The sequence below is a fragment of the Homo sapiens genome, chromosome 19 (genome assembly GCF_000001405.40).
Source record: "Homo sapiens chromosome 19, GRCh38.p14 Primary Assembly".
NCBI lineage: Eukaryota > Metazoa > Chordata > Mammalia > Primates > Hominidae > Homo > Homo sapiens.
The window spans coordinates 35,608,317-35,628,739 of NC_000019.10; the positions used below are offsets into that span (position 1 = coordinate 35,608,317).

A 20,423-nucleotide genomic window follows, 5' to 3' on the forward strand; every position below is an offset into this window, starting at 1 on the left:
TCACAGTTTTCAAGTAGCTCTCACACTTTGGCTCTCACGTCTCAGCTCAAAGAACATCTTAGAAAGGCCTTCTGTGGCAGAGCCAGCAGGATGTTTATTGACTGCCTAGACCAGGACTACATTTCCCAGAGGCCCTTGCAGCTAGTTGAAGCCATAAGACAAGTTATGTTCAATGGACTGAGAGCAGAAGTGATGTATGTCACTTTAGGGTGAAGACTTTCAAGAAGCAGGTGCGAGTTCCTTATTCTCTCTTCTGCCTGGATTCAAAAGACTCTGAGCCCATAGAAGATGGTTGAATCACCTTATGGAAGAAGCCTGGATCCCTGAATTACTATGTGGATCAGGAGAAATGTCTGATGGGATGTTCTATGAGTAAGAAATGAGAAGACTCTTCTCAAACGTGGAAGGAGCTGCTGAAACCAAAATCACAAGTCCTAGAGAAGCTTCTTATTATCTCTCAGATGGTGGATGGGTTCCAAAAAGCATCCTGAAATTATCCAGAAAAACAGAAAAGAGATTTCAGATAAAGCAAAGGGAGAGAGATGCTGACAGAAGAAGACCAAGAGGCCACAGGGGCTCTGCTCCTTCAGGATCTAAGAAAGCAGGAAGGCACCAGTACCTCCCACCAAGGCCAACAGAACAGATACCATGAGAAAGGAACCAAGAAAAGGACAAATGGTGACATGTCTCCAAAACAAGGAGACATTGAGCATAAGAAGCAGAAAGTGAGGCCAGGTGCAGTGGCTCACACCTGTAATCCCAGCACTTTGGGAGGCTGAGGCAAGTGGATCACTTGAGGTCAGGAGTTTGAGACCAGCCTGGCCAACATGGTGAAACCCCGTCTCTACTAAAAATACAAAAATTAGCCGGGTATGATGGTGCATGCCTGTAATCCTAGCTACTTGGGAGGCTGAGGCAGAGAATTGCTTGAACCCAAGAGGTAGAGGTTGCAGTGAGCCGAGATTGTGCCACTGCACTCCAGCCTGGGCGACAGAGGGAGACTCTGTCACAAAAAAAATAAATAAATAAAAGCAGAAAGTGGCCAGGTATAATGGCTCATGCCTGTAATCTCAGTGCTTTGGGAGGCCAAGGTGAGAGGACTGCTTGAGGCCAGGAGTTTGAGACCAGCCTGGGCCACATAGCGAGACCCCGTCTCTACAAAAAATTAAAACTGAAAAAAATCTAGCTGGGAGAATTGGCTCAAGTCCCAGCTACTAAGGAGGCTGAGGCAGGAGGATCACTTAAGCCCAGGAGTTCCAGCATGTGATGAGCCGTGATCGGGCCATGGCTCCAGCCTGGGCAACAGAGTGAGGTCCCATCTCACAAACAAACAAACAAACAAACGAGAAAGCCCAGGTAGCAATGAGAATGAGACTTGCCCAGACAGGCACCCCGGGTGACTGCTCCTGGGGGTGCAGGCCATCCATTGTCCTTTGGTGGTGTCTCAGTCCAAAGGCAATTGTGACCAAATCACAGGGACAGATCAAGTCTTCTCAAAGCAGAGACTGGTGAAACTTTCCAAATCATGGCGGTAGGGCACGCCTTGCATGTTACTGAGAACTTCCTCCTCTCTCTTGACTTTGCAGTCTGAGACCCGGTCATATCTACATGTGTGTTTGGGGCAGGATGGGCAGAGACATAGCAGGAAAGGAAGTCACAGGGGTGTGTCCTACCCCAGCCAGGAAGCAGGCAGCAGGGACCGCTGTGGGGCATGCCTGGAGGTTCTTCACCATCTGCTGAGCACCAGCATAACAATGGGACATTGGGACTGTCCACCTGCACTGTGCTGTTACCACTAACCAGACAACTGGCTTTCGTGGGATTCACCCTGGGTCCCTGGGGCAGAAAGCACCCTAAGTGCTCAGGGCCTTCCTCTGAAGGGGTCACTTTTTCCTTCATTGTCTTGGGTGATGTAACAAGCTGTGCCAGACTGGAGGAAGTGAGACCAGGTGCCTGCAGTGAGCTACTGAGACGCAGGTGACAGTCACAGCAGTTGCATTATCAGGGAGTTTCCTATGGTCATCTGAACTTCGAGGGAGGTTTTCTGGGGCCGGGCATTCCTTCCTCATTCCCATTTACCTAAATTGGCCCATCCTTGTCTGGTAGGTCAGCACCCAGCAGAGGCTTCTCCCCATGCACAGCACTGTGAGGTTCAGGCACCTGGGCACAGTAACCACAGTGATTCCTGGAAGCTGGTGGGCATGCTATCCTGGGGCCATCTGAACTGGGAAAAGCTGTGTGAGTTCTTGGGGGCCAGCTTGTAGCCTTTTTGGCTGGGGCCAGGTTGAAGGTCTTCCTGGGAACCAGAGTCAAGAGCGGCCACTTACATTAAGCGGATAAAGCCCACGACTTTCTTGAGCTGCTTGACAGCTGTACCAAAAAGGCACAAACCCATTGAGGATATTATGAAACATGAATACAGATGATTATTTTATTTTGGTTTGGTTTTGTTTTGGCTTTGAGACAGGGTCACCCAGGCTGGAGTGCAGTGGTGCCATCATAGCTCACTGAAGCCTCAACCTCCCAGGCTCAACTGATCCTCCTGTTTCAACCCCCCAAGTAGATGGGACTACAAGCGTGCACCACCACGCCTGGCTAATTTTTTTTAATTTTTAATAGAGACAAGGTTTTGCTGTGGTGCCCAGGTGGGTCTCAAATTCCTAGCCTCAAACATTCCTCCCACCTCAACCGCCCGAAGTGCTGGGATTACAGGCATGAGCCACCACGCCCAGCCATTGCCTTATAATTTTTTACTGATGTCAGATATTGTTAATTTTACAGTGTTGGATGCTGGATTTTTTTTAATCTCTATAAATATTCTTGAATTTTGTTCTGGAATGCAGCTAAATAATAGCTTGATCCTTTCGGGCCTTGCTTTTAAGCATGGTTGGTTAGTCAGCATCAGAGAAGTATTTCATCTAGGGCAGGGGCAGGGGTCTCCAAACCCCAAGCCGTGAACCAATACAAGTCCATGGCCTGTTAGAAACCAGGCTGCACAGCAGGAGGTGAGTGGCGTATGGGTGAGCATCACTGCCTGAGCTCCACCTCCTGCCAGATCAGGAGCGGCATTAGATTCTTACAGGAGCGCAAACCCTATTGTGAACTGTGCATACGAAGGATCTAGATTGCGCACTCCTTATGAGAATCTAATGCTTAGGCGGGGCATGGTGGCTCACACCTGTAATGCTAGCACTTTGGGAGGCTGAGATGGGCTGATCACTTAAGGTCAGGAGTTCAAGACCAGCCTGGCCAACATGGTGAAACCCCGTCTCTACTAAAAATACAAAAATTAGCTGGGCATGGTAGCGGGCGCCTGTAATCCCAGCTACTCAGGAGGCTGAGGCAGTAGAATCGCTTGAACCCCGGAGGCAAAGATTGCGCTGAGCCGAGATCGGGCCACTGCACTCCAGCCTGGGTGAAAGAGGGAGACTTCACCTCAAAAAAAAAAACAGGGAAGAAAAAAAAAAAGAGAGAGAGAGACAGAGAATATAATGCCTCACGACCTGAAGTGGAACAGTTTCATCCCGAAACCATCCACTGCTCCCACCCTCCATCCCCCAGACTGTGGAAAAATTGTCTTCCATGAAACCAGTCCCTGATGCTCAAAAGGTTGGGGACTGCTGGTCTAGCGCAGACCTCTCACACCTGCTGTGTCCCAAATTGACCCACCCCTGCTGCTTATTTTTACCACCCCTACCTGGTGGTGCGTCTGTCTCCCCACTCAACTGTGAGCTCCGTACAATAGGGACCAGGGCTGTTGTGGTCACCATGGTGTCCCCAGCATCACCCAGCACAGGGTCAGCTCCCTGAGTTTATGGAATGGTAAGCACGAATGAATGGGAAAACGCATGCCAGGGAAATGTTAGGGTCATGCTCTCTGCCCCTACCCTCCACTCAGACATGAGACACCTGTTTCTGAAATCAAAGAGCAGTAAGTCCAGGATCTCATTGCCTGGTTCCAGTCCTCCTAGGACGCAAGTCCCATTTTGTCAAGAAAATAAAGGGGGTGAGCGTGGTGGCTCACGCCTGTAATCCCAACATTTTGGGAGGCCGAGGCGGGAGGATCGCTTGAGCCCAGGAGTTCAAGAGCCCAGAAGCTGAGACTAGCCTGGGCAACAAGTGAGATCCCATCTCTATTAAAATAAAAGTGTTTAGTTAAAAGAAGAAAAAGAAAATAAATGGAAGCATCAAGGACTGTTTTGCCTCTTTCGGGTTAGCTGGTAGTGAGCGGGAGAACGAGGGAAGGCGGGCGGGGCTGCAGTCTCTCCACGCCCTTTTCATTTCCACTCAAGGAGACCTACCTGGGAAGAGTGAGCGCTGCAAGACCCAGCCTGACCGCGCTAAGATTACTATGCAGCGCCCGAGCCCGCTGTCTGCCCGGCAACCGATGACGTCACTGTTGGCGCGCCCGTGACGTCAGAGGCGGGCGCCACACTTGAAGAGGCTGAGGGAGGCGGTGTCGCCGCCGCGGCGCTGTCATGGAGCTAGCGCAGGAAGCGCGGGAACTGGGTTGCTGGGCGGTCGAAGAGATGGGGGTGCCCGTGGCGGCCCGGGCCCCGGAATCGACGCTGCGCAGGTGAGGACCGCTCCTGGAGTGAGGACACCCCACCCTGGAGATTGAGTCTCCGGGAGTGAGAACTCCACCCCTCATTGAGGACTCGACTCCCCCCAATTCCCCATCGAGAGTGACCCGACTTACTGAGGGCTCCCTACCCTGGGAGGCTCCCCAGAGTGAGGTCCCTAGCACTGGTGAGGATCCTCCACGAGTTAGCTAAGACCTCGCTCCTTATGGAAATAGGATCTCCAGAGTGAGGCTGTCCCCGCAGCACCTCCCCTCCCTCCCTTAACCTAACCAAGAAGGACACTCAGGAGTTAGCCGTGGCCACCCCATCGGGGATTGAAGCTGTAGGAGTGATGCCCCACGTCTGGTCATGAGATGGCACTTCCTGGCAGTACATCCCCCACCTCCACCTCTGGATGTGACTGGGATAACCCACTCCCAGGAGAAAGGGAGCACCCGCCTCTCCCGCGCTCCCCCACCACCCGCCTTCCCAGGGAATGAGAATAACACCACACTTAGTGCAAACATCCAGTCCCTACAAAAAAAATGTTTTACCAATTAGCCGGGTGTAGTGGTGCCTGCCTGTAGTCCTAGCTACTCTGGAGGCTGAGGTGGGAGGATCGCATGAGCCCAGGAGGTTGAGGCTGCAAGGAGCTATGATCGTACCACTGCGACAGAGCGAGACTGTCTCTTAAAAAAAAAAAAAAAAAAAAGGCAAAAAAAAGTTTGGGCCTTCCCTCCTCAAGAAGTGAGAACTCCCTAGTAAAAACTCCCTACCACCATCACCCTAGGAATGAGGATCCCACACCCTGTGTGCTGCCCCAGGCATATGCTTACACACTGTCCCCACAGGCTGTGTCTGGGCCAGGGGGCTGACATCTGGGCCTACATCTTGCAGCATGTGCACAGTCAGAGGTAAGCTGGGCTAGAGCAGGGGAGGGGGCACAGGTGAGGCCCATAGTAACTCCTCTTTCTGCCTCTGCACTGTAGGACTGTCAAGAAGATCCGGGGAAACCTACTCTGGTAACTGCTTCTTAAAGCTATCCCCTCCTGTCTTCCCCACTCCCATTTAGCCCTGTCCCCACCACAGCATCACACCTATTGCCCTCCCCCCTAGAAGCCCCACTCATCCGCTGACTCTGGCCTCGTTTTCCTAGGTATGGCCACCAGGACAGTCCACAGGTGAGAAGCATATGCTACAAGATTCTCTTTCATCCGAAAAATGACTTGTAGATCTTCTGCTCTAAGCCCAACCAGGTGCTGGGTGATGCTGGGGACAATGGGTCACAAGACAGCCTTGATCTCCATCCTCATAGGGCTTAAAGTCCAGTGGAAACAGCATTAGCTCAGCCAGGTGCAGTGGCTCACACCTGTAATCCCAGCACTTTGGGAGGCTCACCTGAGGCCTCATCTCAGGTGATGAGATCACCTGAGGGCTCCAGGAAGCGATCAGTACTGGGACAAAGATGTGGTTTGGGAGGCGGATCACCTGAGGTCAGGAGTTCGAGACCAGCCTGGCCAACACGGTGAAGCCCTGTCTCTAATAAAAATAAAAAATTAGCCAGGCGTGGTGGCACACGCCTGTAATCCTAGCTACTTGGGAGGCTGAGGCAGGAGAATCGCTTGAACCTGGGAGGCAGAGGTTGCAGTGAGCTGAGATCGCACTACTGCACTCCAGCCTGGGCAATAGAGCGAGACTCTATCTCAAAAAAAGAAAAAATAAATAAAGAGCATTAATTAGCTGGGCGCAGAGAGGTGGGACCTGGATATGTGGCATCAAAGCTGGTGAGAAGAGATGATGGGACAGGTATGGGAGAGATGCTGAGGCCAGTGTGGGACCCAATGGGTGCAAGGGGCTCATATGACACCTAAGGGGAGGCTTCCAGGAGGCCTTGGGACTTCTAGGTGCAGGGCTCCGGGAAGAGATCAGTACTGGGACAAAGATGTGGTTGTCACCAGCACAGACAGGAAACAGGCTGGAAGTGTGGGTAAGACAATCCTAGGAGGAAGGAGGGAGGGAGCCAATACCCTAATGCTTCTGTGTCAGACACAGAAACTGCTGAGCAAAAACCCTCTGCCACCAGTTGAGGAGCCTGGTACCCCCAAAAGACAGGCCAGGCTGAGCCCCGATCAGACCATCTGACCCTGAATCTGATCCTCCCAGGTCCGTCGGAAGTTAGAGCTGGAAGCTGCTGTGACCCGCCTGCGGGCAGAAATCCAGGAACTCGACCAGAGCCTGGAGCTGATGGAGCGAGACACTGAGGCTCAGGGTGAGCCATGGGGCCAGAAGATGGGCACCAGAATGTGGGGCGGGAAAGGTGCTGATGGCCACCCCTGTTCCTCCCACAGACACGGCCATGGAGCAGGCACGTCAGCACACTCAAGACACCCAGCGTCGAGCTCTCCTCCTCCGGGCCCAAGCTGGGGCCATGCGAAGACAGCAGCATACGCTCCGAGATCCCATGCAGCGGCTGCAGAATCAACTGAGGCGCCTGCAGGACATGGAGAGGTGGGCCTCAGGGACCCACCCTCACCAGGCTGGGTGGCCAGACATTCTCTTAGAGACCTCAGGGCTCTGCCCTGATCCCTTCTTGGGTTCCAGAATTCTGGAACCATTAGGATGGAATGTCCATGAGGCCAGGAGGTTTTGTCATCTCAGTCACCTGTATTTTCAGTGCCTAGAATGATACCACCTGTATACCTAGAACACCAGCCCTGGGGAAACAGCCACAAACAGAGAACATGTCCCTGCCCTCCTGGAGCTTATGCTGTGACACAGAGAAGACAGATAGTAAAGTAGGAACCAAACAGACCCTATCATTTCTGGTAGAGATGAGTGCTGTGAAGAAAAGCCTATCATAGAAGGGAGAGGGAGATGCTGCCCTAGCGAGGGTGGTCAGCGAAGGCCTCTGAGGAGGGGACATTGAGTTGGAAGAGGAATTTCTGTGGAGAAGGAATAGCAAGAGCAGAGGTGGTGTGCTCAGCATGCAGGAAGAGCAGCCCGGAGGCCAATGTCAGCTCAAGTTTCTCAGGCAAGACCGAGAACCTGAGGAGGTGAGGTCGAAGGAGTGGACAGAGAACTGTGGATGATGTGTTGCGATTTTACCCTGACACTGGTTCATGCCCTGGCTTGGCCACTTAAAATTGGGTGACCTAAGGCTGGGCATGGTGGCTCACACCTGTAATCCCAGCACTTTGGGAGGCCGAGGCAGGCGGATTACTTGAGGTCAGGAGTTCGAAACCAGCCTGGCCAACATAGTGAAACCCCGTCCCTACTAAAAAATACAAAAATTAGTCGAGTGTGGTGGCACGTGCCTGTAGTCCCAGCTACTCAGGAAGCTGAGGCAGGAGAATCACTTGAACCCAGGAAAAGGAGGTTGCAGTGAGCCTGGATTGCACCACTGCACTCCAGCCTGGGTGACAAGAGCAAAACTCTGTTTAAAAAAAAAAAAATTGGGTGACCTTGGGCAAGGTATTTAACTTCTTTCTATGTGCCTCAGATTCTAAGATCTGTGGAATGGGGATAATATTAATACCAAGCTTATAGGGTAGGCATGATCGTTAGGTGGAATAAATCATGTGAAGTGCTTAGAGAAGTGCCTGTTAACCATTGTTATTCTGGGTTTGGTTTTTTTGTTTTGTTTTGTTTTGTTTTTTTGAGACAGAGTCTGGCTCTGTTGCCCAGGCTGGAGTGCAGTGGCATGATCTTGGCTCACTGCAACCTCTGCCTCTGGGGTTCAAGCGATTCTCCTGCCTCAGCCTCCCCAGTAGCTGGGATTATAGGCGCATGCCACTGTGCTCGACTAATTTTTGTATTTTTAGTAGAGACGGGGTTTCACCATGTTGTCCAGGCTGGCCTTGAACTCCTGACCTCAAGTGATCCACCTACCTCAGCCTCCCAAAGCGCTGGGGTACAGGCATGAGCCACCACGCTGGGCCCATTGTTATTCTGAATGCGCTGGGGAAACATCACATTATTTTGGACAGATCTGAGCAGGGACATGATCTTCCTACAGTTTTAACAGAATCACTGACTTCTGGGTGGCAAACAGTCTCGTGGAGCAAAAGCAGTGGGGAGGCTAATGCAATATTCCAGCTGGGAGGTGACAGTGGCCTAATCTGGAGATGGCTCCCGAGATCTAGGCTTAGTGATTCCTCTGACCGGCCTTGCTGGCAGTGAGAGGAGATGGGGCACAGACATCTGTTCTCCCAGGGACCCCAGCCCCAGCTGCACTTCTCCCTCCAGGAAAGCCAAAGTAGATGTGACCTTTGGATCCCTCACGTCGGCAGCTCTGGGCCTGGAGCCCGTGGTCCTGGTAAGAGTCCTGGTCATGGGAGAAGGGGCAGGGAGCCTGGAGTCAGGCAGATGCTAGGGTCCCCCTCAGGTCCCTTCCTCCTCTTCTCCCTAGCGTGATGTCCGAACAGCCTGCACCCTCCGGGCCCAGTTCCTGCAGAACCTCCTGCTTCCCCAGGCCAAGAGGGGCAGCCTCCCGTGAGTGTCCCTAGCCCCCAGAGACCCTGTAAAGACCCTGGGTTTTAAGTGGGGGTCTCTTATTTATTAATTCCTCAGACACTGAGCTTCTGGGCTACGTTCTGTAGAAGGGGACTTCCAGGCTGGGAATAGAAGGAGACAGTCTCTCATCACAAACAGTGACAGCCAGGTGGTCAGGGCTGTTGCGGGAGTGAGGAGGCCTGAGAGGCTCTGGGCACCCAGAGGCAGTGCCTTTCCCAGCTAAGAAGGCAGGGAGGGGAGAGGTTCTCTGGTGAGGAGGCTTAGCTGGGGTGAAGGGTCCAGAGAGTGTCCCAGATGAACAACCCATGTAAAGGCCCCAAAGCCAGCAGGTTGGTATAATTGGGGAACTCAAGTCTAACAGGCATAGGGAAGATGACAGCCCCTACCTTATAGGGTGGTGGTGATAACTAGAGGATAATTGACGTGTCTTGTAACGTTCTCTGTCCGCTTACCCAACCCCACAGAACCCCTCATGATGACCACTTTGGCACTTCGTACCAGCAGTGGCTGAGCTCAGTGGAGGTGAGAGGGCAGGGCTCTCAGGAAAGCCACACCCTCCCGCTCCTTGATCAAAACTTAGGGTGCCAGGACCTAACTCTTGATGACAGCCCTATTCCCATGGGGTCTCAGCTCACAGCCCTGCCCCGATCCTGCCCTGACTTCACCCTCCCTCCCCCTAGACGCTGCTGACAAACCACCCCCCAGGCCACGTCCTGGCTGCCTTGGAGCACCTGGCTGCAGAGCGGGAGGCAGAGATTCGGTCCCTGTGCAGTGGGGATGGGCTTGGCGACACAGAGATATCCAGGTGTGGGGCAGGGTATTCTCACAGTTGGGGAAGGCCATGTGAGTGGGTGAGCTGGGACAGCCTCAGGACCCCTGGCCCAGCCACCTGCTGATGGGGTAGAACTGAAACCCACTGCCTGGTGGGGTGGCAGGACTGATACTGTCCACCCTCGAGTACCAAGGCAAGGCCGCAGCACGGCTCCCTCAGCAGCTCTTCCCCCACCCCAGACCCCAGGCCCCGGACCAGTCAGACTCCAGCCAGACCCTGCCGTCCATGGTTCATCTCATCCAGGTGACCCCAGGGCTCGCCTCCCCACCACATTCCAAGACTTCCTTAATCCCCTCACCCATGGATCATGCCCTGGGTGTACCCTGATTCTGTACCCCGCTTGCAGGAGGGCTGGCGGACTGTGGGTGTGCTGGTCTCCCAGCGGAGCACCCTCCTGAAGGAGCGGCAAGTCTTGACCCAGCGCCTCCAGGGCCTGGTGGAGGAGGTGGAGAGACGCGTCCTGGGATCCAGTGAGAGGTGGGGGGCTCTCCGAGAAGAGGTCTCTAGGCCATCTCGCTTCTGAGTGTCTCAGCCCATTGGACTTTTTCAGCCTCTGTGGCTCCTATCTCTGCCTCCTCTCCCTGCAGTGTCTCTCCCTGGTTTATGGTCCCTTGTGTGGCTCAGTCACCCTTCTCTCCTTTGCTCTCCTCCACTTGCCCTGCAGGCAGGTGCTGATACTGGGGCTTCGGCGCTGTTGCCTGTGGACGGAGCTCAAGGCCCTGCACGATCAGAGCCAGGAGCTGCAGGATGCAGCTGGGCATCGGCAGCTCCTGCTGAGGGAGCTACAGGCCAAACAGCAGCGGATCCTGCACTGGCGCCAGCTGGTGGTGAGAGGCTAGGCCCAGGGCCTTGTGGAGGGCCAGAGGGGAGGCTTGAAAACTATGGCTAAGAACTGGGCCTGAGCCCTGTGTGGTAGCACATGCCTGTGGTTCCAGCACTTTGGGAGGCTGAGGTGGGAGGATCTGAGCCCAGGAGTTCAAGGCTGAAGTGAGGTATGATCACACCACTGCACTCCAGCCTGGGTGACAGAGCAAGATGCTATCACTTAAAAAAAAAGAATGCTGTCACTTAAAAATTAAGAACTGGGCCTCCTAGGCAAGAGCCCAGGTGAGACTCCCAGGCAGAAGCAGGACCTAAGCAGAGAGGCACACTGAGGCTGGGAGCTGGGAGGAGTGGGTCTCAGGGTATCCTGGTTCCTCAGGAGGAGACCCAGGAACAGGTCCGCCTGCTCATCAAGGGAAACTCGGCCAGCAAGACCCGCCTGTGCCGGAGCCCGGGGGAGGTGAGATGGGAGTTGGGGTGAGGTCTGGGTAGGGCTGGATCTGCCAGGATGGGGCTGGGTGGACTTGTGATGTTGTGATGCCCCACCCACCCCTCCCCTTCCCCACAGGTGCTAGCTCTGGTCCAGCGAAAGGTGGTCCCTACATTTGAGGCAGTGGCACCACAGAGCCGGGAGCTGCTGCGCTGTCTGGAGGAGGAAGTCCGGCATTTGCCCCACATTCTGTTGGGCACGCTGCTGCGGCACAGGCCGGGAGAGTGAGACTGGGGCTGCCCCACCCCTGCCCTGCATCCCCTGCCATGGGTGACTGTCACTCCCTGAACCTCCTCAAAAAAGATAACCCCAGACCCCCAGTGTTCCCAGGCTGCCAGACCTCACCCTTGGGTCAGCAGCCCTGGTCTTGGCATCCTAGTCCCCAGACCCACCTTGAAGTTCCTGGGCCCCCAGAGCCTCCAGAACCCAAGGCCTCCTCTCAGTCCCCACCCAACCCAGACTTCTCCCCGCCCGTAGGTTGAAGCCCCTGCCCACGGTCCTCCCATCCATCCACCAGCTGCACCCCGCGTCCCCAAGGGGCTCCAGCTTCATAGCGCTGAGCCACAAGCTGGGGCTGCCTCCAGGGAAGGTGAGTGCCCGTCTCCTGTGACTTGTCTCCCCAGCCCCGCCCCAGGTGACCGTCCTTCCCTCCTCCTCCAGGCCTCGGAGCTGCTCCTGCCGGCGGCTGCCTCTCTTCGCCAGGACCTTCTGCTCCTGCAGGACCAGCGGAGCCTCTGGTGCTGGGATCTACTCCACATGAAGACCAGCCTGCCGCCAGGCCTTCCCACCCAGGGTAGGTCTGCCCTGCCACCCCATCCAGCCTCCCCGCCCATTCCCACTACCAGCAGCCTCCACGAGTCCTTACCAGCAACCCCGTTGTTTACGCAGTGCCCATTGTGTGCTAAGGGCTTTAAACATTCTCCCTTGTTTCATCTGCACGGCAGTCCCATAAGGTAAGTGCTGCTGTTCTCTCCATTCTACAGAGAAGGGAACTGAGACGCAGAGGTTAGTAGGTTGCCCAAATGGCAAAGCTGGAATTTGAATCCAGGTGGTCTGAAATGGGTCTGTGCTCCCAACCACTAAGCTACACTGCCGTCGACTTTCCACGTGTTCATTCATCACCGTCACATAGTATACCTCAGCAGTTCAAAGCCTGGGAATCCTCTCTGCCGTCTCTTCCTAGCTGTGTGGCCTCCCCGTGCCTTAGCTTCCTCCTCAGTGGAGTAAGCATGAAGCAATATCTTACCGAGGTGCTGGGCAGATTGAGGCAGGGGACCCACACAGGGCACTGAACACTGCCTGCTATGCAGTAAGCACCCTGTGTCTCCAATGTGATTAGCATCATTGTCTGTGTACACACACAGTCTCTTGGAGTCATGACGATGAGGAAAGGGACTTTTAAGAACCCCAGTTTACAGATGAGGAAACTGAAGGTTAGAGAAGTCATTCATTCCTGGATTCACTCACCAAATACTGGGTGTCTACCAGGTGCCAGCCCAGATGGCTTGATGGGGAGTGAGGAGAAAGGTCCCCACCCCAGGGGTTTCCCCAGATGGAAGTAAAGAGTAAAGAATGAAAGGATAAATACATGGAAGAGGAGAATTGATGAGAAATGAACCGGCAGTGCCAGCAGCACTGGAGGAAGAGACTGTTCAAGCCTCTGAGTTTGGGGCTCCCTGCCCTCCACTTCTTCACAAGGGGAGGGAACAGTGTGCAGGAGCAATGAGAGCAGCCCCAGACCCCACACGGCCTCTGCCCACCTCAGCCTCTGCCTACCACGCCCTCTGCCCACCTCATGTGTTTTTTGTTTTTGCTTTTGTTTTTTTGAGACAAGGTCTCATTCTGTCACTCAGGCTGGAGTGCAGTGGTGCCATCCTGGCTTACTGCAGCCTCAACCTCCTGGGCTCAAGCCATCCTCCTGCCTCAGCCTCCCGAGTAGCTGGGACCACAGGCATGCACCCCACACCCAGCTAATTTTATATTTCTTATAATCATGGGCATCTTGAACTGTACACATCTATCATGGAACTCCTGGTTCTCTCTACTCCAAAAAACAATTTTGTTCCTCTTCTTGGTTTCCTTCCTTGTTAAATTATCTCACCCTCCTCATCCAAGTGCTGCACCCAGAAACCCAGGAGTCATCCTGAATTTCTCCATCACCCTAATCCCCCCACCCTCACCAGCTTCAGCCTCTCAGCAAGCCCTAAGGGTCCCATCCCCAGAGTTCTCCCATCGGTCCCCTGCCCCAGTAATTCCACCTGACAGCAGACGGAGCTGAACAAAGAGCCAGTGTCGTGATCAAGGTCACAGGGCAGGGATGGGATGGGGTCAGGATTCAGGCCCAGCTTGTCTGATCACGCTGCTCGTCTGCACTTGCTGAGCTGGGCCTGTTCTGTGCACATGGAGAGGTAGGCCCAGTCCCAGTCCCAGAGGAAAGCACCGCTAGGGTGAAGCTAGAGCAGGCGGAGGAGGAAGCCTTGGAGCGAGAGTGTTGGAGGGGCCTCCAGGAGGAAAGATACTCTCTACTGTGGGCCCTGGGAATCGGCCAGGCTTTGCCACATCATGAAACTCAAATACCTGCTGAAGGGCTTGGACTCTGCCTTGGGGGCACTGGAGAACCTTGGAGGGTTCTAGACAGGAGGGAGAGCATCAAATTTAGGCTTCAGGAAGATCACTGTGGTGTAGTGCGGAGGGTGAACCAGAGCAGGAGACTGAGGCCTGGAGCAGAGGAGAGGAAGAAACGCTCAGGAGACTGAGCGGACAGGCCATGGAGATTGATGGGCTCTCACGGGGAGGGAGGAAGGCATCCAGAAGGAGGCCTGGATGGGGCTGGGGGTGGTGGACTGCCCTTGAGATGAGGATCTGGGAGGAGGGACAGGTCCTCATCTCAAGGGCAGTCCCTCAGAAGGGGACTTCCAGGCTGGGAAGAGAAGGAGACAGACTCATCATTGGTTTGCGGGAGCTGCTGAGGTCAAGACTAGGGGACTGGAGAATTGGGGACTCATTGCTGTAAGGTACCAGCGAGCCAGAGGACTCAAAGCTGCCTCCTGGCTTTCTCACCCTCAGAGCTGCTGCAGATCCAGGCATCCCAGGAAAAACAGCAGAAAGAGAACCTGGGGCAGGCTCTGAAGAGGCTGGAGAAGCTACTGAAACAGGCACTGGAGCGAATCCCTGAGCTGCAGGGGATCGTGGGGGACTGGTGAGAGGGGAACGTGCCGCGGATGGGAAACAGAAAAGTCAGGACTCAAGCTGGGGGCCTGATGAGAAGGAGCAGGCCATGGTTTTGCAGGGAGGGTCTGGAGGGTCAGTCCTTTCCTCGTTGACGCCATGCCATTCCCCAGGTGGGAGCAGCCAGGCCAGGCCGCCCTCTCTGAGGAGCTCTGCCAGGGCCTGTCCCTGCCCCAGTGGCGGCTGCGCTGGGTTCAGGCCCAGGGGGCCCTGCAGAAGCTGTGCAGCTGAAGAGAGGGTTCAAACGGAAGCCGAGAACTTGACACTGTTCACCCCAACACCTCACCTCCCCCAGGACATTTGGAAGAAAGCAGCGCCAGGATTCCTCGGCAGTCGTCCCCACCCGCACCTGCAGTCCCCTCATGTGCTGTTCTGCTGCCCCACTCAGCTCCTGGACCCTGTCCTTTCATCCCGCTAAAGCACCCCCTAAAACCCCTTCATCACTTTCATTCTCAGCAAAAAGTAATTGAGCACCTCCTCTAGGCGCTGGGGAGTCCACACTGAACAAAAGAAACAGAAAACCCTGTCTTCCAGCAGTTGAGTTCTAGGGCAGGGAGACAGAGTTTACAAGATAAGGAAAATATATATGTAGTATGCTGCAAGTTAACTGCTGTGTGGGAAATCCAGCAGGGGGTGGGATGTGTGATTTGAATTGAGGGCCACACTGCCCAGGTCGTGCTCCGTCAAGGGGTGAGCAGGAGCAACAGGGGTGGCTGAGTAAGGGCTTGCAGCTGGAGGCAACAGCACATGCAAAGGCCCTGAGCCAGGATGTGCTGCAATAAGGGCCACTGAGGGGGACAGTGTAGGTTGGGGGTGAGGAATGTATTAAAAGATGAGATTGCCTTCTAGTTTGTATAGTTTCTTTTTTTACATGTAAATCAGCCATTTGGAATTTATCCTAGCACATGGATCCAATTTTGTCTTATTTTACATATATCCTAGTAGCACTTACTGAAATTCCCAGTCAGAGTGGCAGTTGCCTCTGAGGGAAGGTGGGTGGCAGGGATCAACTGAGGAGGAGACACAGAAATGTCCTAGCTGATGGGAATGTGCTGTGTCAAGAGCAGCGGCGGTGACGCAGGTGTAGAGATTTGTCAGAGCTCATGTAGTTGTAGTCTTAAGGCCTGTGCATTTCACTGCGTGGGTTACTCAATTTATAAAGCAAAGCCCTTACACTTTTGAGATGCCACCTTTTTATGCACTAAATTTCCATGTTTAATTGGGTTATATCTGGCTTCTCTCCAGACCTGCTTTGTATTTAACTCTCCATGTGTCATTCCTACAGTAGCTTAATAGAAAGGCTTGTGACACATTGTCATATCTGTTCTTGTTTTCTTTTGTTTTTTTTTTTTTTTTTTTTGAGATGCAGTCTCATTCTGTTGCCCAAGTTGGAGTGCAGTGGCATGATCTCAGCTCACTGCAACCTCCGCCTCCCAGGTTCAAGCCATTCTCATGCCTCAGCTTCCCCAGTAGCTAGGATTACAGGTACGCACCACCACGCCCAGCTCATTTTTGTACTTTTAGTAGGGACGGGGTTTCATCATGTTGGCCAGACTGGTCTCGAACTCCTGACCTCAAGTGATCTGCCTGCCTCGGCCTCCCAAAGTGCTGGGATTACAGGCATGAGCCACCGCGCCTGACCACATTGCCATATCTGAAATGGCTGGATTCTCTTAGGTGCTTTTCTTTTTCTTTCTTTCTTTCTTTTTTTGAGACAGAATCTGGCTGTTTCCCAGGCTGAAGTGCAGTGGCATGAACTCAGCTCACTGCAACCTCTGCCTCCTGGATTCAAACAATTCTCATGTCTCAGCCTCCTGAATAGCTGGGATTACAGGCACCCACCACCATATCTGGCTAATATTTGTATTTTTTGTAGAGTCGGAGCTTTACCATGTTGGTCAGGCTGCTCTCCAACTCCTGGCCTCAAGTGATTCTATCGCCTCTGCCTCCCAAATCTTCACCTGCTGGGATTAGTTTCCCCTGTCTCAGTAAATTTTTTTTCCCAAACTAAGTGAACATTAGATTTAATTTGGCTGGCCCCAGAAGAAAAACATGCACAGATGGTAGTTTTACTGGTGTTGCAGTAAGTTTTCAAATTTGGAAGTTTGGCAGCTTTATGATCTTGAACCTTGCTGTCCATCTCTCACACAACTCCTCTCTTGGCCTCCAGAGTCCCTTTACTCTCCCAGCTTTCCTCCTGCCCCTGGCTGCTGTTTCCCAGCCTTTCCACATTGGCTTTCCCATGTAGTCCTTAGTGTGTCTGCTCCTCCTCTCTCTCCTCATCACAGTTCCCAGCCCCCACCTTCAACTGAACTCAACAAAATCTTCAACTTCATACAGTAGTCACATTGTTAGTAATAACACTGGCATTTTTATTTTGATAAAATAGACCGTTTAAATTTTTGAGATTCTACCTTATATTTTTTGAATTATATACTAAAGCAAATAAGTAGTGATGTAATGTCATTGGGGACCAAGATTTTTAGTGTAAATGAAAAAAGATAACAAATATAAACTCAAGTAAACACCCTGTAGTCTTTCACATGAATTGGAAATATCAGAATAAAGTCATGATTTTTCTCTTTCTAAAAAATATGTATTTCCCTAGTTAAGTCCCCTGAAAAGGTCTAAATATAATGACACCCCAGTAACACTGAGCAGCACTAGTATACAGACTGTGGTCTCTATAAGTGCCATTTCTGACTAAGAACTAGGGACTTTTGTGAAAACAGCTGATTCCAGGTCTGGGGCAAGAAATGTGCAAAATGTGTCCAGGATATTTTGTGCCAGGAAGCAAAGAGTCCTCCAAGACTACTGTGGCCAAGTCAAAGGAACTCAGGAGCCAGTCTGAAGGGCTGTCACTCACCAAAGGTGGGACATGTTGAGCAGCAAAAAGAACCACAGTGGTTTGAAGCACATCAAATATGCCTGAATGTGTAAGTTCATGTTGATACTCATATACCTCATTGAAATCACCTTTGAAGAGTACTAGGAACCCACTCATTATTTTGAAAAATTTTTTATATATAAAATAATCCAGCATGTTCTCTATTTTTCTTATATGTGAACAAGTAACCAACTTTTTTTTTTTTTTTTTTTTGAGACAGGGTCTTGTGCTGTCACCCAGGCTAGAGTGCAATGGTGAGATTTTGGCTCACTGCAACCTCCGCCTCCTGGGTTCAAGTGATTCTCGTGCTTCAGCCTCCTGAGTAGCTGGGATTACAGGTGCGCGCCACCATGCCAGGCTAATTTTTGTATTTTTATTAGAGGCGGGGTTTTGCCATGTTGGCCAGGCTGGTCTCAAACTTCTGACTTCAGGTAATCTGCCCGCCTCAGCCTCCCAAAGTGCTGGGATTATAGGTGTGAGCCACTGTGCCCAGCCTAAGTAACCAAATTTCTGATGAAGAGGTTATTTATGGAAGAATCACAACTAATAACTTCAGAGAAAATACTAGAATTCAAAAACCACTATTTGCTATTAATTAATCTAGTGATGGATACAGGTAATGATGATCAAGGGCTACTAAAACTATTAGGGGAAAGGTTGATTGGGCTTCTTAAAATAGGTAGACCAGGATGACACCACTGATCAATCCTGATGCCAAAGGAAGGCAACCAGACATCTTGTGCTTCTGATGGGATCCAATAGGATACAAGGGATATGATACCATACAATATTATCTATGAAGTGTGCTTTTACCAAATTAAACCTAAATCTCATCTAGCCTTAGCTCTCACTACAAGCATATGGGAAAGGGGCAGAAGGCAGTCAGAAACAAGTGAAACAAAAAGGATGTAATTAGTTAAATTCAAAATGTGTGACACCCTATAGGATAAATGATCCAGTTTCTTCAATAAAGAGAAGGCAAAAGGGGGAATGGAGAAAGAAAGAAGAAAGGGAGGGAGGGAAGAAGGGAGGAAGGAAGGAAAGAAAGAAAGATGGCAGGCAGGCAGGTATTCATTTGTACTGATTCATACTGCAGCTTCAAGAAACCAAGGCAGCCAATAAAATTAAATTTTCTTTTTTTTTTTTTTGACACGGAGTCTCGCACTGTCACTGGAGTGCAGTGGCACAATCTTGGCTCACTGCAACCTCCGCCTCCCGGGTTCAAGCGATTCTCCTGCCTCAGCCTCCCAAGTAGCTCGGATTACAGGCGCTCGCCACCACGCCCAGCTAATGTTTGTATTTTTAGTAGAGACGGGGTTTCACCACGTTAGCCAGGCTGGTCTTGAACTCCTGACCTCGTGATTCACCCGCCTTGGCCTCCCAAAGTGCTGGGATTACAGGTGTGAGCCACCTCGCCTGGCCTCTAAGTTTTTCTTGTTGGTAAACATCTGAGCAAGCAAAAATTTAAGTTTTGACAGGAAAAAAAAAAGACAATCAAATGCAATATTTGGACCTTGTTTTGATCCTGATTCTACTATCGTATAAAGACATTTTTGAGACAAGGAAAACTGAACACGGTCTGGGTGTTAGATGATACTAAGAAATTAATTTGATGGTATTCATAATGGCATAGTTAATGGTATTTTTTTTTTCTTGACACTGAGTTTCACTCTATCGCCCAGGCTGGAGTGCAGTGACGCGATCTCGGCTCACTGCAACCTCTGTCTCCCGGGTTCAAACAATTCTCCTGCCTCAGCCTCCCGAGTAGCTGGAACCACAGGCGCACGCCACCACGGCCGGCTAATTTTCGTATTTTTAGTAGAGACAGGGTTTCACCATGTTGGCCAGGCGGGTTTCAAACCCCTGACCTCAGGTGATCCGCCCACCTCGACCTCCCAGAGTGCTGGGATTACAGGTGTGAGCCACTGAGCCCAGCGTTAATGGTATTTTTTAAAAATAGTTCTTATCGGCCGGGCCGAGATCGCGCCACTGCACTCCAGCCTGGGCGACAGAGCGAGACTCCGTCTCAAAAAAAAAAAAATAGTTCTTATCTGTTAAGGAGACATAATGGCGCATTTATGACTGAGTTGATGTCTGGAATTTGCTTTAACATACTCCAGCAAAAAAATATAAAAATAAGAAAAGTATAAGGCCATGCGCAGTGGCTCATGCCTGTAATCCCAGCACTCTGGGAGGCCGAGGCGAGTGGATCACTTGAGATCAGAAGTTTGCTACCAGCCTGGCCAACATGGTGAAACCCCGCCTCTACTAAAAATACAAAAATTAGCCGGGTGTGGTAGTACACACCTGTAATCCCAGCTACTAGGGAAGCTGAGGCAGGAGAATCCCTTGAGTCCAGGAGGTGGAGGTTGCAGTGAGCCGAGGTCACACTACTGCAATCCAGCCTGGGCGACAGAGCGAGACTCCGTCTCAAAAAAAAAAAAAAAAAAAAGAAGAAGGTACTTTGTAACATTCTCCCCGCCCTTGAGAATGTACTTTATAAGCCTATCCCAAACCTGTAAGAACTAATGATAATCCCACCACCCTTTGCTGACTCCTTTTTCGGACTCAGCCCGCCTGCACCCAGGTGAAATAAACAGCCTTGTTGCTCACACAAAGCCTGCTTGGTGGTCTCTTCACACGGACGCGCGTGACAAAGAAGTATAGATCAAGTGAAATCCAGAAGTGTTGAATATTGGTAGCGTTTGAGATGTACTTAAGAGTGCGTTATACTATTCCCCTTAATGTGCATGTTTGAAAATACTCAGAATAAAACACTTGTGAGGGCTACGGGAAAAAAAAAAGGGTCAGCTGTGGCCCAAGAAAGGACAGGGACCAAGCCCACGGACGTGCTCCTCTGAGTTGCACTAGTCTCTGGGCCTTGGCTCCCACCCTGAACAGCTCTCATCTTTAAATGTCTTCAGCTGTCCTCCTCCAGGAAGCCGGGTCAGGCGCTTCCTCCCGGGCGTCTCCGGTCTTCCTGGAAACCACAGGTCGGGTGTCAACCTACTCCAGGATAGGGGCCCCGAGGGGCCAGCCAGGCCTCCCAGCCTTGCCCAACCCTGGGGTTGACACGGACTTTAGCGTCTT

The 20,423-nt window shown here is 52.0% G+C and overlaps 1 protein-coding gene, 1 long non-coding RNA gene and 1 pseudogene across 5 annotated transcripts, besides 5 other annotated features; 1 reads left to right on the forward strand and 2 right to left on the reverse strand.

Moving 5' to 3' along the window:
- Nucleotides 1-72: 72 nt before the first annotated feature.
- On the reverse strand, nt 73-4,348 carry HAUS5-DT (HAUS5 divergent transcript). The gene is made up of 2 exons (NR_186318.1): nt 4,302-4,348; nt 73-487 (listed from the first exon to the last, which is right to left on the reverse strand). It is a non-coding gene; the product is annotated as an HAUS5 divergent transcript (long non-coding RNA).
- Nucleotides 4,153-4,708: an enhancer, noted in NCBI's record as "H3K27ac hESC enhancer chr19:36103371-36103926 (GRCh37/hg19 assembly coordinates)". NCBI's record gives its function as "activates a minimal SCP1, AML or CMV promoter by ChIP-STARR-seq in primed H9 embryonic stem cells {active_cell/tissue: H9 hESC(primed)}" and the evidence as "EXISTENCE:reporter gene assay evidence [ECO:0000049][PMID:30033119]".
- Nucleotides 4,297-4,556: an enhancer, noted in NCBI's record as "active region_14487". NCBI's record gives its function as "activates an Ori minimal core promoter by ATAC-STARR-seq in GM12878 lymphoblastoid cells {active_cell/tissue: GM12878}" and the evidence as "EXISTENCE:reporter gene assay evidence [ECO:0000049][PMID:35858748]".
- HAUS5 (HAUS augmin like complex subunit 5) lies at nt 4,419-17,039 on the forward strand. Of its 4 annotated transcripts, none has more exons than NM_015302.2 (19): nt 4,419-4,576; nt 5,414-5,476; nt 5,552-5,584; nt 5,719-5,743; nt 6,726-6,831; nt 6,911-7,070; nt 8,808-8,877; nt 8,971-9,053; nt 9,539-9,596; nt 9,755-9,879; nt 10,086-10,149; nt 10,253-10,383; nt 10,571-10,733; nt 11,108-11,188; nt 11,297-11,442; nt 11,696-11,807; nt 11,879-12,011; nt 14,285-14,417; nt 14,560-17,039. In NM_015302.2, exons 1-19 carry the CDS (start codon nt 4,479-4,481, stop codon nt 14,675-14,677), a joined length of 1,902 nt encoding a protein of 633 aa, NP_056117.1. In that variant the 5' UTR covers nt 4,419-4,478; the 3' UTR covers nt 14,678-17,039. The 4 variants fall into 4 exon arrangements, with proteins under 4 accessions (NP_056117.1, XP_047294480.1, XP_047294481.1 ...); XM_047438524.1 differs by lacking the exon at nt 14,560-17,039 and adding an exon at nt 12,107-12,171 and having other exon boundaries at nt 14,285-14,371; XM_011526684.3 differs by lacking the exons at nt 4,419-4,576; nt 5,414-5,476; nt 5,552-5,584 and having other exon boundaries at nt 5,731-5,818.
- TRUND-NNN10-1 (tRNA-undetermined (NNN) 10-1) lies at nt 12,242-12,312 on the reverse strand (annotated as a pseudogene).
- Nucleotides 19,690-20,217: an enhancer, noted in NCBI's record as "H3K27ac hESC enhancer chr19:36118908-36119435 (GRCh37/hg19 assembly coordinates)". NCBI's record gives its function as "activates a minimal SCP1, AML or CMV promoter by ChIP-STARR-seq in primed H9 embryonic stem cells {active_cell/tissue: H9 hESC(primed)}" and the evidence as "EXISTENCE:reporter gene assay evidence [ECO:0000049][PMID:30033119]".
- Nucleotides 19,690-20,382: a biological region, named in NCBI's record as "H3K27ac hESC enhancer GRCh37_chr19:36118908-36119435".
- Nucleotides 20,143-20,382: an enhancer, noted in NCBI's record as "active region_14488". NCBI's record gives its function as "activates an Ori minimal core promoter by ATAC-STARR-seq in GM12878 lymphoblastoid cells {active_cell/tissue: GM12878}" and the evidence as "EXISTENCE:reporter gene assay evidence [ECO:0000049][PMID:35858748]".

Bases quoted from the DNA above. Each gene is read 5' to 3' on its own strand.
- HAUS5 (NM_015302.2), top strand. From the start codon at position 4,479: ATGGAGCTAGCGCAGGAAGCGCGGGAACTGGGTTGCTGGGCGGTCGAA. The intron at 4,577-5,413 runs GTGAGGACCGCT...CTGTCCCCACAG, and splicing joins CCGGAATCGACGCTGCGCAG to GCTGTGTCTGGGCCAGGGGG. The intron at 5,744-6,725 runs GTGAGAAGCATA...TGATCCTCCCAG, and splicing joins GCCACCAGGACAGTCCACAG to GTCCGTCGGAAGTTAGAGCT.